At 50.5% G+C, this 18,335-nt stretch overlaps 1 long non-coding RNA gene across 1 annotated transcript, besides 2 other annotated features; it reads left to right on the forward strand.

The window, feature by feature from the left end:
- Positions 1-695: 695 nt before the first annotated feature.
- Positions 696-17,807, forward strand: LINC02687 (long intergenic non-protein coding RNA 2687). The gene is made up of 5 exons (NR_122071.1): positions 696-2,139; positions 8,654-8,886; positions 9,234-9,437; positions 16,526-16,608; positions 17,175-17,807. It is a non-coding gene; the product is annotated as a long intergenic non-protein coding RNA 2687 (long non-coding RNA).
- Positions 8,195-8,694: an enhancer, noted in NCBI's record as "H3K27ac hESC enhancer chr11:45400447-45400946 (GRCh37/hg19 assembly coordinates)". NCBI's record gives its function as "activates a minimal SCP1, AML or CMV promoter by ChIP-STARR-seq in primed H9 embryonic stem cells {active_cell/tissue: H9 hESC(primed)}" and the evidence as "EXISTENCE:reporter gene assay evidence [ECO:0000049][PMID:30033119]".
- Positions 14,005-14,686: an enhancer, noted in NCBI's record as "H3K4me1 hESC enhancer chr11:45406257-45406938 (GRCh37/hg19 assembly coordinates)". NCBI's record gives its function as "activates a minimal SCP1, AML or CMV promoter by ChIP-STARR-seq in primed H9 embryonic stem cells {active_cell/tissue: H9 hESC(primed)}" and the evidence as "EXISTENCE:reporter gene assay evidence [ECO:0000049][PMID:30033119]".
- Positions 17,808-18,335: the final 528 nt, after the last annotated feature.

Consider the following 18,335-nt stretch of genomic DNA (forward strand, 5'->3'; position numbering starts at 1 on the left):
GGGAGAAGGGATCAGAGAAGGCTTTGGAAGACAGCAACCTGTGAGTGGGCCATAAAGGACAAACAGTTTGCTAGATGGAGAGTGTGAGCGTGAGGGTGTGTAGGAGGGAAAGTCAGTTTTGCGAACTAAATCCTCTCACATCCACATTCAGAGCAGGGGCCTATCCCCAGGCCCCATGGAGCCCGTATTCGGAGGCTTATCTGTAGCTGCAACCTCTAAACTTGGCCCCATCTCCTGACATTTCTGAGTGAAAAGGAGCCACTCTTTAGTGTGTGTGCTGCAGGCTCCTGTGGCTGTCACAGTACAGTTATTGCGGAATTAACAGGGGAACAGCCATCCAAGTGGAGAGGCACAGAATACTTCCTGTCCTAGCTCTGCCTTCAACTCACTGTGTAACTGTGGACAGTTTCGGCCTCAGTTTCCCCATCATCAAGATGGGAGATTGGCTGTCAACTCTGCCAGCTTCCTGCCTGGAGCGCAGCCCTGACACCCTTCCTGCAAGATACACGTTAGCAACGACCGTTCTCTCTACGCCAAGCTCATTTGTCTGAGCGTATCAGCAACACGACACCTCGCAGTTCAGTGGATTTGATGTGAGCTCCCGCCCCTGGCATACCTAGCGTGTAATACCTGCTGCTGAAAAGGGGTATTTGAAGGCAAAGTGCATGGCAGAAGGAAGCCTGTAGGTGGCGCTATGGCTCCGGTTGCCGAGCTGCTCCCAGGAGATTCGTTTTCAGAGGATCTGAGAAAAACCCGGCAGGGTTGATGGCAGCTCTTTCTTCTCGGTGCCCTCGCAGTGCAGCAGGCCCCGCTTATTTGCAAGAAGCAGCCAGGTCAGCCCACTGGGCCTCCCCACCTCTTGTGCCCCTTCGCACATTTCAGAGCTCTCTCTTTTCCTCTGGGTCCTTCCATTCAAGAGAGGAGGAGGAGGAGGGGGTGAGCCTGTTGCGAACGGCGTTGGTGGGGCAGGGGCCGGTTCCCCTGTTTCTGGGGAGCCTTTTCTGTGCTGGTTGCAGGCAGGGGCCCTCAGTGTGGAGCTGTGGTGAGCCTGTGCCCCGTCGTATTTGGGTCACAGCCTCCGTGACCCCTAGCCCCCGCCAGGCACTCCACCCCTGCAGTGATTCGCTTGATATTTTAAAAGCACTCCATCTTCTGCCTGCTGCCTTCTCTCCATTCATCTGGGTCCAGGTTTTCGCCGAGCCATCTAATAAAGAATCCAGGGGGGAGAATGATGGGGGCGAGGAGAGGGAAAGTGCTAACATTTATTAAGTGCCCGCTGGGTGCCCAGCACTTCCTCAACAACTAGAGCAGCGGTCTTTCTGCTTTCTTTCAGCTGCATAACCCTTTCCTCCATCCAAAATCGCAAGCCTAACCTGGCCGTGTAAACAAACACCAGGGAAGCGCCTCTGATGGAAGGGGATGGGGCACCTAAGGCCCTGTCTCTCACCATGTAGCATCCTCCCCACTCCTAACAGACACTTTGGTGCTTCCATGAAACCTGGATCTAAAAGCTCTGTGCTCATTAAATCTACATATAACTCTCCAAGGAAATAGTATCCCCATTTTTATAATACCAAGCTAAAGGCCAGAGAGGGAGAGTGTAGGATCACACAATTTTTTTTTTTTTTTGAGATGGCGTTTCACTGTCACCCAGGCTATAGTGCAATGGCGTGATCTCAGCTCACTGCAACCTCCACCTCCCTGATTCAAGTGATTCTCCTGCCTCAGCCTTCTGAGTAGCTGGGATTATAGGCGCGCGCCACCACGCCCAGCTAATTTTTGTATTTTAATAGAGACGGGGTTTCACCATATTGGCCAGGCTGGTCTCCGAGCTCCTGACCTCAGGTGATCCGCCTGCTTTGGCCTCTCAAAGTGCTGGGATTATAGGCGTGAGCCACCGCGTCCGGCCCAGGGACACGATTATTAAAGGGCAGAGAGCCAGACTGGGGAGGCAGGTGTGCTCCATTCCCAAGCCCATGCTTGCCCTGGCTCTGCCGGGAAGACAGTAGGTGCTTTGCTTCCTGAGAAAGGTCAGGAAGAGGCGTGGCTCCTCCAGCTGTACAGACGACCAGGCCAGATCCACATGGCCCCGTTTGGTGCTTGGATGTCTGGTAAACTGCCTGCCAAGGAGGAACGCAGGTAGGACAAGAAAACTGTGGGTGGTGAAACGCATGGGGAATGGGTTCTGTGCCGCCAGTGAAATGGTCTTTCAGCCGCCAGGCTCCAACTTGGCTGACTTTAGAAGAAATCAGCCAGCCATGGATTGCTGGAGATTCAGACACAAGCTTTCCAGGCCCTGATGAGTCCTTGTTTTCTTCCAGGACAACTGGGTTTTGGGACTGTAAGCTATGACCCAGATCTTGGTTCCCATTTCGCACATGAAGAGAAGATTGGCCCTTAAAAAGCAAAATGCTTTAAAACAAAAACAAAGAAAAGAAAAAAAAGGAATTCATTTTTTTGCTTGCAATTTATTGTTTTCTTATAATCTTATAATGACCATCAATTTGGATTCAGAAATACCTGCATCAAAAGGTCATATCGGTGCTAAGACCTGACTTCCCTGCATCTCAGTTGCCTCCTCTGTAAGATGGCATCACAAACACTCCCCATGCCATCGGGCTGCTGTCACTGGTTCTTGTGTGTGGAAATGTCAATCCCAGGGCCTGAGGTGTGCAAAGTCAATAGTGGTTCTCTCCCCACTTCCACCCCCCAGTTTTTCTCAAAGCCTGTTGAATGTATGATGTGTCCTAAATGGAAGTGCTTCCACGGGGCACTGAGAGGATGGGTGATCTCTTCTCACTGCAGTCAACTGGCTGAAACGCTCACCTTTTCATCTTAGCATGTGAGATGTGACACTCTGATCCCCGGAATTGTAAATTCAGACTCTCAGAGAGCTCAGGATGGCAAAATCCAACCTCTTCGTTTTTAAGATGGGGAAATTGGTTTGCACAAGGTCATGCAGCAGGTTTGTGGCAGAGCTGGAACCCACACCTGCTGATTCCCAACCTGGTGCTCTGTCTGTCATCCTGGGTGACAAGGAGCCATGGAGGCCGCAGGGAGGAAGGACCATGGGATGCTGTCTTGATCCCTCTGGCCTGTGACTGTGAGGGAGGCTCACTCTGCTCTGTGAGCCCCATCACATGGGTGTCGTGTGTGATGGTGAGTGGTGCCTCCCTTATAGAAACGAAACCCCAAGAGCCAGGAAGAGCCCATCATCATCCAGATTCATAGGGAAAGCCAGCTCCTATCAGAGGCATCGAGGGGTGAGGAGGCCTGCCAAACTTGGAGTTGAGTCCCATTCCTGCCTCTTGCCAACTGTGTGCCCTGGGCAGGGGATTTCTTGAGTTGAGCCTGTTTCCTTACGAACTGAGGAGAGTAGAATTACAAACCCATAGGTTAATGTGAAGATTCAACAAGTTAATATAATACTAATACTTAATGAGCATTTACTATGTGTCAGGTTGGGTTCTAAACTCTTTATATGTATTTGCTTATTTAATCTTCATAACAACATAGTTTGCTGCTAAGGGAATGGAGGTTCAGGATGGTTAAACAAACCCCAGGGACAAAACTGGAGAGGACAGTGTAGATTTTGAGCCCAGGTAGCCTGGCTCTGGCACTCTACTCTTAACCACTGTGCTCTTTGACCTCAATTTCGGCAGAATCCAGTGCTTAGCACATAGAAGCTCCAAAAATGTCCACCCCTCCCTTGCTGTCTGTAACCAGCCTTCCTCATCCACCCCTTCTGGACCTCAAGAGTGGGTTCTAGAAGCAGGGTTCTGTTATTTCTCAGACACCAAAAGTTGACCCAACTCGATTGCTCTATCTTGAGTTATTTTACTTCTCTGTTTTGTTGTTGGTTTTGGTTTTTATTGCCTTTTCTTTGATCAAAAGCAAGACTGAATTGCCTACAAAGGCAAATCTGATTCTGTGCTCCTGAGCACCAAGTGAGCCTCAGCGATCGGCTCAGCTTAGCTCCTAATGCCAACCAGTGAAGGAGCATGGTTTCTTGGTTTCTAACTGCTCACATTCATGGCTAAACCCCCAGCCCTAGACGAGCTTCCTTGACCAATCTGGGGGAAAAATACACCTTCTTGATTGTGGGTTTCTGGCGACACTTGTTCAATTTCCTGGTTACTATAGAGACCTTGTCAACACATCCAAATACTCTTCTTAGCAAAGAAATTTTCTTCTCCCCAGTCTCTGCATAGCCCCAAAGAACACAGGGTCTCAGGAAGAAGCAGGAAAGGCTTAGCCTATGGGCCTTCTGAGCCCAGCCCAGGCTCTGGTTCCCTTTCAGCTGCTTGCAGACTTTGAGCCTACAGAGGATAAAATGAGGGAATGAACAAGGAGCGCTGTTTGAGTGGGACTGAGCTTCAGGGCAAATAAAGGGAAGTGAATCAGAACAATGGAAAATCTGGCCAGGGTATTTAAACATTCAAATTTCTTTCTTTTTCCAGTGACCTAAGGACAGGCAATCTGCACTGGGAATCTGGATCCCTTACTCGTAATATTATGGCTGGAAGGGCAAGGTCAAGACTCCCAGTGGACTGGATACTAGGGTTGGGTCTCAGGTCTGCTCCTGATGGCCGAGGCCAGCAGCTACATTGCATTTATACAAATGGTTAGCGGAGCTCCCAAGCTGGCTCCTGTCTTTCCATCTCTGCTTATTGAAAGCTTACCCATGCTTTATGACCCTGCTTTGTTGCCACCACCTCCAGAAAGACTTAGAATCGATCTCCTCTTTTGCCCTTGTACCTCTCATTATAATCTCATCTCTCATCACCTCCTGCCCGACGTCATGGTTGCTTGTATGTCTGCCTTTATTCCAGAAATTCTCATCAAGCTGTAATTATGGGGCAGGCCCAGAGCTAGTCACTGGCGATGAGAAAGATCTAATCCCTGTCCTTATTTCAGGGGCTCCCATATGCTCAACAGCCTGGCAGAGACGGACAAGTCCACACGTAATTTAAGCAGACGGAGAGGGATGTGCTGAGTACCTGGGGCATCTCTGCCTGCAGATGGGGAAGGGGTGATCCAGGAAGGCTTCCCAGAAGTGATATGCCTGGCTTACATCTTAAAAGATGAGTTTCACAGAACAGCATAGGGGACAGGGGAGAAGGGACAATTCATGAAGGCGGAACAGGATGTGCAAAGCCAGAGAAGTGTGAGGTCTTCAGGGATGAGCCCCAAGGAGCCCAGATGGCCAGCGTCGGGGGCATCCTGGGGCGCAGGGGCAGGAGGTGGGATTGGGCAGGCAGGGACTGTCAGACCGCAGAGGACCTACTATGCACTGCTTAGCAGCTTGGGCTTTATCCTGCCAGCTGTGGGGAGCCATGAAAAAGTTTTCAGGAGGCAAGAGACCCGACAGGGTTTGTCTTTTAAAAGGACAGCTGGGGCTGCTGAGTGAAGGATGGATGGTTGAGAGGCAAAAGGTGAAGCAGGGAGACCACCTAGTAGGTAGTGGCCTTCATCCAGGTGAGGGACCATGGTGTGGACCGAGTGATAGCAGTGGAGGTAGAAGTAGGAAGATTTGAGATCTGTTTAGGAGGTAGAATTGGCAGGACCTCGTTGTTGATGGGATGGGAGAAAGAGAGGGTGAGTTGGAGATGACTCCCAGAATTGTGGCATCATTGGCCAGGGTGGATGATCAGATCTGAGGAGGAAAGTGGCACTTTTGGCTTAGGAAATGCTGATCTAAGGAGCCTGAGGGATACCTCAAGGTGCATCTAGACGCTCTTCCCTCCTCTTTCCCCTGCTCCCCGGGCCAGCCCTTGCTGTGGCTTTTCCTCCAACCTGTTGTCTAGACCCACACTAAGGTGGTAGCTTGGAGTTAGATCACCAGATTTGGAAAAAGTCACCAGATGAATGCACTCCCTACTGCAGATGTTTGAGCTGGACTCCGTGTGCCCTGCCTCCCTGGGGTTTTCAAACTTCAAGGAGAAATCCAGGAGAAAAAGGACACAAACAGTGGAATTCCAGGTTTGTTAGGAGAGAGATTTAGCAAGTCCTTCTCTAGGACCTGAAAACACACTTGCTCAGGCTGCTGGGCCTGCTCCTCTCGGGTCATGGTCCTGTGTGCCCTGGTCCAGCCCTGCAGCCGTCAGTTGTGCACCCAGCCTGCATCACCAGCCACAAGGCCCAAGTACATCCTTTGTTTTTCCTGGGCCTACTTCTTTATTTATCAAATAACAGAATTGTGCTCCTTCTCTTCCCACCCCACCCCCCTTATCTTCTCTTCTTCCTTAGTGATAAAGAACAAGGACTTCAGAATCAGGTAAATCTGGGTGTAAATTTCAGTCCTACAACTTTCTACCTGTGTAAGTTACTTCACTAGTACCTTAGTCTCCTCATCTGTAAAGTGGGGACAGTAATGGTACCTACTTCATATAAGTATCGTTCATATTCAGTGAGACAATGTATGGAAAACTGTCAGCTCAGTGCCTGCCACCCAGGAAATGCTCCAAGGTCATGGCCATCACGGGCATCAAGGTTCCTTCCCTCCCTCTCACCTCCCCTCCCTCTCTGATATTCTTTGCAAATACTCCCATTACACGGCTATCTCTGGCCTGGGCTGCTGGCTGTCCAGTCTGGAGGCAGAAGACTGAACTGAATGACCCCTCGAGGTCTTTTTGGTTTAGGAGTCTTGAGTCTCAAAGGCTTGGGAGCATTCTCCCTGAACTTTCTTCATCTGGGTTCTCATGGTGATGTGGGCCCTGTGCTCTGTGGGTCTCTGTCTCTATTTAGTTTTTCCAAGTCACCTGGAGGCTCCCTCCCTCCACTCCCCACTCTCAGCATCCCCTCCTGGGTCCAGACAGGTTCAGGCAGAGCACACTCTCCATTAGCCATCATGGCCCACCTGCTGGCTCCCCAGTGACTGGGTCTCTGATTGGCTTCCTTCTGCATTTCCCAAGGATGTTTTGAAGAGCTTCACGTGCTTCCCCCTGCCTGCCCATGCTCAGCGTTTCTGAAGCTGGCTTCAGAGCAGAGGGAAATTGCTTTGGGAGAATGAGTATTCTTTTTTATTTTTTACTTTTTTTGAGATGGAGTCTCACTCTGTCACCCAGGCTGGAGTGCATTGGCGCGATCTCGGCTCACTGCAACCTCCACCTCCCAGGCTCAAGTGATCCTCCTGCCTCAGCCTCCCAAGTAGCTGGGATTACAGGCACACGCCACCACGCGAAGCTAGTTTTTTGTATTTTTAGTAGAGACAGGGTTTCGCCATGTTGGCCAGGCTGGTCTTGAACTCCTGACCTCAAGTGATCCAGCTGCCTCGGCCTCCCAAAGTGCTGGGATTACAGGCATGAGCCACCGCACCTGGCCAGAATTAATTTTCACATTCTCTGTACCTCCTTCACGCCTGGCAGTTCCTGGTGCCCAAGGAGCTTGCCTTTGTGTGATTTCTCTGCTGATCACCTTGGTCCATGTCCCTGGGTATTAGGGTTCTCCAGAGAAACAGAACCAATGGGATGCATATAGAGAGAAAGATTCATTTTAAGGAATTGGCTCACCCAATTATGGAGGCTGGCATATCCAGAATCTGCGGGATGGGCTGGCAGAACCAATGGGGCAGTTCAAACTCAAAGGCTGTCTGCGGCTGAATTCTCTCCTGCTCAGGGCGGGTCAGTCTTTTGTTCTATCGAGGCCTTCAACTGATGAGAGGAAGCCCTCCCATGCTACGGAGGGCAATCGTTTTACTCAAAGCTCACTGATTTCAGTGTTAATCTCACCCCCAAATCACCCTCACAGAAACAACTAGAATGATGTTTAACTCTGGATCTGGGGACCGTGGCTCAGCCAAGTTGACACATAAAGTGAACCATCCCACCCTGTTATTGGCAAACATACCAGACACATAATCCCAGGCCTCGGGGAGGCTGTCACTTATCTTGGATTCCAGACCACACAGTAGTAAGATTTTGTTCCCACTTCTCTAGAAGATCATGTTGGGAAGCCACCGGCCACTAGGTGTAACCTCTGCCTCGGCCAGTCAAGGCCTCCTGGACTGCAGCAGCACAGGACTGGGCCCGTCCTGGGGCTGAAGGCTGCATGTTGGTTACTGAGTGTGTAATGGAGGTTGTAGGGAGGGGATGAGGGGTGTTGCTGCCCCATGGCCTCACAGACAGTAATTTTCTTTCTTTCTTTTTTTTTTTGAGATGGAGTTTCGCTCTTGTTGCCCAGGCTGGAGTGCAATGGCGCAGTCTTGGCTCACTGCAACCTCTGCCTCCTGGGTTCAAGCAATTGTCCTACCTCAGCCTCCCGAGTAGCTAGGATTACAAGCATGCGCCACCAAGCCTGGCTAAATTTTGTATTTTTCGTAGAGACAGGGTTTCTCCATATTGGTCAGGCTGGTCTCGAACTCCCGACCTCAGGTGATCCGTTGGCCTCGGCCTCCCAAAGTGCTGAGATTATAGGCGTGAGACACCACGCCTGGCCAGACAGTAATTTTCAAACCTGGCTGCATACCAGAATCACTTTAAGTTGTAGATTCCCAGACCTCACTATCAGGGGAAATTCAGAGGCACTAGTCAAATCTAGAAAGATCAGGGCATCTAAATTATTAGGAAGTAATTAATGTATCACCATAGAAAACTCAGAATGAGAGTGGAGCTGTGAGCGTCTCCTGGGGCCAGGCATTTCCTGTCTCTTTCAGAGGTGAAGCACCTGGTCCGACCCATCATTTCACGCTGAATCGCCTGTTGACCCATCTCACTTGACTGACTCCTGGGATGGAGGCCTGGCTCCCTCCAAGGCAGCCCCTTGCGTTGGAAGAAAGGCAATGGTGTGAAGCCTGTCTGGTTGTACCCTCCAGCTGCGGGTCCTTACTCCAGCTCTCAGAACCAGAAGGAATCTGTCTAATTGCTCATCTACTGGAGAGCCCTTGAGGTATTGATGACAGTTTTCATTTCCTGCTGTGTCTTCTCTAGGATAAAAAATCCCCAGCCCTCTTACCAAGCTGTGTCTCTCAGCATGAGGCCCCAGCAGTGGACTCTGCTCAGGCTTTTGTTTGGCCCCTACAAGGCCTACCAAAGCAATCACCTCCTTCCTTCTGAACACTCCACCCCCATTAATGTGTCCAAAGCCACATGGCTGCTTGTGTTAGCTCCATCACACTGAGGATAGAACCCTCAGTGTTAGCTCCATCACACTGTGGATAGAACCCTCCAAGCCTGAGCCCCAGCCTGCATCCTTATCCTCCTCCTCTCTTTTGCCTTAACTGTTCCACCTGGAAGAGGGGCTTCTTCAAGGTCCTGGGAACTCCAGAATGTTCCCCTCCACTTAAAAAACACAAGGATGGTCTCCAGGCACCTGAGGAAACACAGTCTCCTGCCCTTTAGGATCAGCCACCTCTGAGGCCAAGACCTGACCCAGATTCCGGTACCCTTCACAGAAGGAGCCACCACAGTGGAGAAGGAAGCTCATGGCTTTTGGGCAAGGTAGGCTTAGGTTCAAAACCCGGCTCTCCCTGTAGGACCTAGGGCAACTGATCCTCTCTTTCTTAATCTGTAAACGGTACCTGCCTACTAGGGCTGTGCTGAGACTTCTGGATAAAGTGTCAAAGCACCTAGCCCAGGGCCAGCACATAGTAAGCACACCTAAGTCTAAGTTCTCATCTCCTCTTGAGGGACTTAGATCTTTTATCCCTTTTTCTTTCCCATCAAATCCTCCAATTCTAGCCTCTAACGTGGAAGAGCTGTATTGACTCAACACACTAGTACACCAGTACACAAAGGCACTAGTCAAATCTTATGGCTTTGGGCAGAGAATGCCCCCGTGTGGGTTGTGTGACCTGGGGCAAGCCTCTTCCTTTCCTCTGATTGTGGGTCTTTCATCTCTGATTTGAGATGCACAGGCTAGGAAGTCACCTTTATTTATTTATTTATTTATTTATTTATGGATATGGAATCTCGCTCTGTCACCCAGGCTGGAATGCAGTGGCACAATCATGGTTCACTGCAGCCTTGACCTCCTGGGCTCAAGCGATCCTCTTACCCCGCCTCCGGAGTAGCTGGGACCAAAGGCGTGCACCACCACACCCAGCTAATTTTTGTAGAGATAGGGTCTCACTATGTTGCCCAGGCTGGTCTCAAACTCCTGGGAGCAAGCGATTCCCCCACCCAGGCTTCCCAGTGTTGAGATTGCAGGCATGAGCCACCACGCCCGACCCAGGAAGTCACTTTAAAGCCCCTTCTAGCTCTGCCTGTTGTGTCTCCCCAGAAGCCTCCTTGTCATATGGGATCCTTGGCCCTGGGAGGGAGCTGGGGCAGCTGTGAAAATCATCTAACGAGCGCCCAAAGAGGAGGCTGGACCATTCTTCCTCACCACTCAGCCTGATTTTCTTTTTGTTTGTTTGTTTTGTTTTTTGTTTTTGTTTGTTTGTTTGTTTGTTTGAGACGGAGTCTCGCTCTGTCATCCAGGCTGGAGTGCAGTGGCACAATCTAGGCTCACTGCAATGAGCCATTCTCCTGCCTCAGTCTCCTGAGTAGCTGGGACTACAGGCGCCCGCCACCACGCCCGGCTACATTTTTGTATTTTTAGTAGAGACGGGGTCTCACTGTGTTAGCCAGGATGGTCTCAATCTCCTGACCTCGTGATCCACCCACCTTGGCCTCCCAAAGTGCTGGGATTACAGGCGTGAGCCACTGTGCCTGGCCCACTCAGCCTGATTTTCAAGCACCCGATCATCTCATTCATTCCTCAGACACCCACATGTCCCCACTTGTTGGCAGGCACGATGAGGGCACAGATGAGAAATAAAGGGTCTTTCACCTCAAGATGCTGACAGGCCAGCAGGGCAGACAGACAAGCAAACAAATAGCTAAGCCAGGGTGACAGGAGCTATCCTAGAAGCAACAGACAGAGCACAGAGGATGCAACACGTGATTCTACCAGGGATGAGGGATGGGTGGTGGTTCAGAGAAGCTAACGAGAAGCGAATGTTGGCGTTCAGGCTTGAAGGATGAGTGGGGGTCTGCCTGGTGGGAAAGGGAGGAGGGGCACTGCAGGCCAAGGACACAGCATGGGCATTGGCCCAGGGATTGGAAAGTCCTGTTCCACTCTTGGAATGACCTCAGAGTTCAGCAAAGCTTGAGGAAGTTGACTGGGAGATGAGAGTGGAGGCACGAAGGCCAGCTGGCTGTCTGCTGTGGAGATCCAGACTGGAGTCCACGGGAACATGAACTAGGACAGAGCCTTTGTCCTTAGTAGGCAATCTGGGGACACAAAGACCAGCCAGATCTGGATCCTCCTTTCCAGGGACTGACCATCCATCCAACCATTCACTCATCAGTAAATGTCGATATAGCACCTATGCTGTGCCAGATGCTGTGACGGCGGTGAGCCTTCTCCAGGAGGAAGAAATCGCCTGTCCTCCTGTGCATTAATTTCCCAGGGTGGCTACAAGAAAGCGCCATGATCTGAGTGGCTTAAAACCACAAAAATGCATCCGTGCATAGGTCTGGAGGCTGGAAGTCTGAAATCGAGGTGTCAGCAGGGCTATGCTCCCTCTGAGACTCCAGGTAGAATCCATCCTTGCCCCTGCCTACCTTCTGCTGGTGGCCATTCATCTTAGTGTTTCTTGGCTTGCAGACGCATTAATCCAGCCTTGGCCTCTGTCATCACGTGACCTTCTTCCTGTGTGTCTGTCTCTGTATCGCTTCTCCTCCTTGTCATAAATAGACCAGTCATATAGGATTAGGGCTCATCCTAATTGAATAGGACCTCATCTTAACTAATTATATCTGAAAAGACCAAATTTCCAAATAAGATCACATTCACAGGTACTGGGCAGTTGGGTCTTCAACATCTCTTTCTTGGGGGGTGGGGGAGGTGGAGACACAGTTCAACGTGCAATGCCAAGTAATCACAATGCACTGTGGCAACTACCTTAGAGGAATTGGGGACAGGCTGTGAGCATTCAGAATAAAGAGTTCTTGCCAAGCGGAGGAATCCTCAGTGGCTTCCTGGAGGAGGTGGCCTTTCAGCCATACATTGACAGGATTTAGCTATGGAAATGGAAGGGCATCCCAGGCAGAGGGTAGTGCAGGAGTACAAGCATGTAGGAGGGAATTGCAGGGCAGTAATTATGTCACTTGTTGTAAGCAGTACTCAGAAAGCCCTCTCCTCTCACCCTTCTGCCTGCCTGCCCCCACCAAATCTTATACATGCCAAGCTCACTCCAGCACCATCCAATCTTGCACTTGCATTTGATGGGGTTTGGAAGAAAATTGCTGCCCGGAGTCATCATGACATTCCTATTCATGTCCAAGCCTGGATTTGTTTTTCTTGAGCTGCAGTGAAGAAAAAAAAATAATAAACTCTGTATTTATCAAGCAGCAAACCAGTAGGAAATTATAACCTTTTAAAATAAATATGTATCTAATTATAGGAGAGCAGAATTTACTTTTGCAGTACTGTCAGGATTTCCCTGGCCAGCCTAGTCTACAGATAATGTTCCAACTGCCCTCAACCCCCAAATCTCACTGGGCATTAACCTCAAAAATACCACCTTTGCTGATCTCTCAGCAGACAGTGATTTAGGCTGCGCTGAGATGCCCTGAGCAGGCTGGAGAGGAACCTGATTCCCCAGACTTTCCTTTTAAAGCCAGAGGCCCAGCCCCTTCATTGGCTCCTAACCACAAAGCCACAACCCGCACCCCCAAGAATGTCTGTTCTGTCCAGCACACATCTCTGTGGTTGGCAGTTTCCTCCCTTGCAGAAAAGTCAGAAGTCCCAGAGGGAGCAGAACTGAGCCATCTTGGGGAAGGAGCTAACACTGAGGGCTCATCTCATGCCAGGCATGGCGCAAGGCCCTTCCTTCACTTCTGTATTCCTGTCATCTGTAAGTCCACAGACAGCGATCTAGCCCCGAATGTCACGTCCACACACACCATGAAGAACAAGTAAGGAAGAGGAGCAAAGTGTGTAAAGTGCCAACGGGAGCCCAGGCACCTATTAAGTGCTGATAGGAGGCAGCTGTTGTTATTCATGGCCAGAACCCTATTACTCTCCACCAGGCACATCCTATGATGAGTTCATTCTTTCAGCATCTATTCATTAAGCACCTGTGATGCAGCAGGTACTGCTATTCACCTGGCTCCTTCCCTCCCTTCCTCCCTCCCTCCTTTGCACTGGGGCCTGCCCCGTCTGCCCTCTTTAATGCCTAGCCCCCTCCAACCCCACTCCTGGCTCACCCCACCCTGTTTACCCAGCTCTGCTTTCCCCCTCGTACTTATCACCTCTGATACCTAGATGATTTATGTTTGTCTGTTATTCTTGTCTGTTCCCCACAACTCTGGGAAGGTGGAGTCTTGGTAAACTCACTGCTATGGTGGCAGCACCTAGGTCAAGGCTGTAAACATAGCAAGTGTTCAATTAATATTTGTTGAGTTGAACTGAGATCATTGTCTTTGTAGATGGACAAATCCAGGTGAAATGCCCACTCCTTGCTAGCTGTGTGACCTTGGACCCACAACATGGCCTCACTGAGTCTCAGTGTCCACTTCTATAAAGTAGAGAATCTGTGGGGATATGAGCAGGTAGAAAGCTTGCACAGCACAGAGCAATGCCCGGTGCCGAGATGCTTCTCGGGAGCTGGTAGGCAGGCTTCTGAGGGTCAAGCATGCAGTGGGAATTCCATGGTTTATGGAGGTCTCAAGTGTTAGCAGGTCTGGGTTTGAATTCTGGTTCCCACCACTTCCCAGCTCTGTGACCGTAAGCAAATCGTGGAACCTTTCTAAGCCTCAGTTTCCTGTTTGTAAAATGGGGCTCAAACAGCACCCCCACCTCAGAGAGTTATTTTGACATAGTATGAGGTTGTGTCCATAAAGCAAGCTTGCAAGCAGTAGGCATCCAGGGAGTACAGGCTCCCCCTTCCCTCCTCCCAGCTGGGGGCTGTAAGAAGCTTGGCAGCAGAAACCTGCAAATACCCAGGGCTGCTGGGGGCATTGGCCCCTATTCCTCATGGCCATCCATCCCTCCTCCCACAATTACCCAAACTGGGCCTGCCAGATGTGCTCCCGAGAGGGTTCCACCTCCCCAACGCCAGCCCCACAGCTCCCTCCCCGAGCCCCAGCTTCCCCAGCCAGCATCTCTCACTGGCTTTGGCACTAATGGGCCCTGCACACCTCCGAAAGACGGTGATGGCTCCCCGCAGAGCCCACAGCAAGTGCCAGAGGAAGAGGGGTCTCCTGGGCAATGGAGGGGCTCCCCCAGGATTCGGGGGTGTGAGCAGCTGCCTTCCAGAGGGGTCACCTCTGAGTGGAGAAGGATGAGGAGGGGCTGCCACTTGGCTCTGGCTGACTCTAAAGCTGACAGTCAATGACAGGGTGGGCTCCGGCTGAGTGGGAACCTGAAGGGGGAGGTAGCCATGGCAACCTTCCCTGACACTCCATAATAGGAGCTGCCCCAGTGCCTTGCATGTCTACATGAGGCCCGGAGAGGGCCAGTGCGTCCAAGGTCAGCCATTGCCCAGCCTTGCATACTGAACGGGGCTGTCGCTTTTGAGGACTGTCCTGCCCCTACCACCACAGACCTGGGGTGAAGTGGTGGGGGTGGGGGGCTCCGAGCCCTCCAGAGCCTGTAGAGGCCTGATGACTGCACACCAGGCCCCTTAGCAGACACAGGAGAGGGGGGAGGTGATGCCTCTGTGCACCAGCACCCAGTGTGAAGAACTGGAAACGTATTTATCATCCTAAAGGTGGGGCTTTCACCTGATGCCGAGATACACCAGTCACCACATGGGCCTGTGTCTGGCTTCCCCATCCCAGCCGCTTGGGGGGCGCTGATTTGAAAGGGCCTTGAATAGCTGCAGTGTGGAGACAGATGCGTCCCTGAGTTCTGGGGCCATCGGGCTGGACAGGGGCGGGAAGCCACAGAGTCCAGCACAGGGGATGCACAGGGGACAGAAGATGCACATGTATCCGGCACTCGAGGTTGGCTGGGGCGACACTGAGCAGCCTGGGCTGGTTGCTGGGCACCAGGTTGCTCCTTGAGACTGCAGTGGGTTGATGTGTATTGATCCTTTCGCCCACAGTATCTCATCCAAGTCCCAGAACCACCCATGAGGAAGGTGCTGTCAGGAACCCCATCCTCCAGCCAGTGAACTGAGGCTTAGTGAGCTCACTTTCCAAGGGCACACCCAAGTGGCGGAGCAGTTTTTAAAGCCAGCTCAGTCTGCCTCCAAAGCCCATTTTGTAGATGAAGACCTCAAAGCCAAAGGAAGCCAAGGTTACCCAGCTATAAATATCAGAGCTGGCAGGCTCGGAGGCTGGGTCCTTAACTGGCGGTTGGTGGGTGGGGGAAGGGGGTGTCTGTGAACTTGGGTGGGAACAAAATACAACTTTATGTTCACTCACCTCTAACTAAAACGTAGCATTTCCTTCAAGCACAAATGTAAGCAACATACCACAGTTCTGTTAACAGCACCTGTGATTTCGTTGCCACTGGAAACCACAGGTATTTTCACATCACACTACAATGGTGACAAAGATCTTGAACTATCATTTATGCTCATCACTACTTTGAAATTGCAGTAGTTACTAGACCTGATGTTAGATCTTATCATGTAATGCACTAGTAAAGAATTTAATGCACATATATTTTTACATCTCAATTTTATTTATTTTTTTTTTTTTTTGAGACGGAGTTTTGTTCTTATCACCCAGGCTGGAGTGCAATGGCACGATCTTGGCTCACTGCAACCTCTGCCTCTTGGGTTCAAGCAATTCTCCTGCCTCAGCTTCTGGAGTAGCTAGGACTACAGGTGTGCACCACTACGCCAGTCTAATTTTTGTATTTTTAGTAGAGATGGGGTTTCACCATGTTGGCCAGGCTGGTCTCAAACTCCTGACCTCAGGTGATCTGCCTGCCTCAGCCTCCTAAAGCGCTGGGATTACAGACGTGAGCCACCATGCCTGGCCTACAATTTTAAATTTTTAAATTATTTTTGGAAATATATATAATTGACTTGCTTTGTAATCATGCATACTTTACGCATTTAAAAACGTTGTTTTGAGAAAGGATCTACAGTCTCTAGCAGCCGGTCACAGGGGTCATGGCATAGAAAATGTTAGGAGGCCCAGCTCTCAAGCCGGTGCTTCTAACCACTAGGCTCACCTCCCTCGCAGGTACTGAGCCTCTATGCCATCACTTTGCTTCCAGAGCCATGCAGAACAGTAAGCTTGGACTAGTGGCCTCTGGAGGCTTGGCACATTTGAGTGGGGTGTACCCCTTTTCTTCTCTTCCCTGTCTGACCCTCACACACCCTTTCCAGTCCCTTGGCCATGTCAGAGTTAAAATGCCAAATTCTCTGTAGAGCCCAATCTTCCAATTTACAACCAAGTCAGGTTTGTGCCAATTTTCAGGCACCAATTATGGGCCAGCTCTCTTGGACCAATTAAAATGTGCAGGTGCAATAATGTCGACATCAACAGTCTGGGGTTATCTCAGCAGATATTTTTCATGAAATATTTATGAGAGACTGGGAATTTTAACCATTTGATGGCATGCTTCCCCTTTCTGCCAGAGCCTCTTTGAAAAGGAGGAAGAGCTCGCAAAGGGTGACGGCAGAGAGATGCCCAGAATCTTGCAGGAGGAAGGAGAATGCAGGTGAGGGGCTGGGAAAGCCCAGGAGTGGGTGTAGGGTGGGGTGGGGGGACAGGACTTTTTTGAAGGTATTGGGGGGAAAAAGAATCTGTAGAATTAGATTAATCAGGGGGCTGGTGTTCTGGAAAGAGCCCATGTGGGTCTTGGGAGACTCAGGTTTTTGTTGGGACTCTGCCATGCACTTGCTGGGTGATCTCCGTGTCCTCATGTGCAAAAGGGCAGAAATGTCCCCTGCCTTGTGCCACCTCCCAGGGTTGTGGTGGGAATTAAATGGCAGCGTGAAGGGGAGAGGGCTTTGGAAGGGGTTCAGCATTGCCCACAGGGAAGGTTCTCTGCAAAGGGACTGTGCCTCCAGAAGGGTTGATATTAATGGTGCCCCCAGTTTCTCATGCCTCTGTGTGTCCTTGCCCTTCAGTAGTTCCTCCCAGATCATTGACTCTGGCTTGGCCCTATGATTTGCTTTGATCAATGGAATAGTCACCAACTAGGTTGAAGCAGAGCTTGCAAAAACACTGGTGTATTTTCATGTTCCTTTTGCTCTTCTGCCTTTGTCATATGAATGTGTCCAGCCTAACTTGCTGGAAGGATTCAGGAGACGTGTGAGTAAGAGCCAAGATTTCCCAGATCAGCCTACAGCCAAGATAAGCACAGCTTTCTACCCAACCTGCACCTCACCACAGAGAATGGAAGAATCACTCAGCCATCCTGTATATTGTAGCAATAATGTATGGTTATTTTTTCTAGGCACTGAGTTTTGGGATGATTTGTTATGCAGCAACAGCTGGCTGCTACAGAGATTGTGCCCACCCTCACAGCCCCCTGGATCTGTGTGCTCGCACTGAGTTTTGGGATGATTTGTTATGCAGCAACAGCTGGCTGCTACAGAGATTGTGCCCACCCTCACAGCCCCCTGGATCTGTGTGCTCTCACTGAAAAGCAAAAGTAACTTCTGTTTTTCTCTTCTCTGTGGCCACCAGGGCTGCTGCCCAAACAGAAAGGCAATTTGCTTAGTGGTGGAGGTTGTGACCTCCAGAGTCAGACAGTCCTGGAATCCTATCCCAGCTGTGTGACCTGCAGTTGGCTTCTTAACCACTCTGTGCCTCAGTGTCTCCATCTACAAAAGGCACAGTTTCTACCCCATCAGGTTGTGGTAAGGACTAGAAAAGACATTGGAAGTAAAGTGCATGACACCAAAGTGCTCCAAATGACATTTTTTGTTGTTTATTTGTGGTAGTTGATGTTCATATTTTCCCAAAAAAGCCTCTTCTTATCTTCATCAGCCCAGATTGCCTGAATTTTTTGCCAGGATATCTTCCCAGTGGAGGGAGACAAGCTAGAATTGGTAGCCACATGCCTTTGGTGCAGATTTCACAAACACTGTGATTTTTGGCAAGCAGAGTCTGCCAGTTGCATAGGAACAAGCCTGCCTGATAACATCCCAGTTTAACCATCTCCAAAGCACTTTCATATCCATGCTCAGATTTGAAAGCCTCACAAGAATCCTGGGAGGTGGGCAAGGCAGGAGCTGGCAGCCCCATTTTATAGACGAAGACACTGAGGTTTAGAGAGTTCCCCTGACTTGCAGAAGTTAAAATGTGGCCCAGGTTATCTGGTCACAGAGGAGAGCTGCCCCTGTCCTGGGCCACTCAACCTCTCCCACAGGGACAGATCTCAGCCGTGGAGATGCTGGAAAGAGCTCTGGAATCCCTGATGAGGGGCTACACCCTAGA

The sequence above is a fragment of the Homo sapiens genome, chromosome 11 (assembly GCF_000001405.40).
Source record: "Homo sapiens chromosome 11, GRCh38.p14 Primary Assembly".
NCBI lineage: Eukaryota > Metazoa > Chordata > Mammalia > Primates > Hominidae > Homo > Homo sapiens.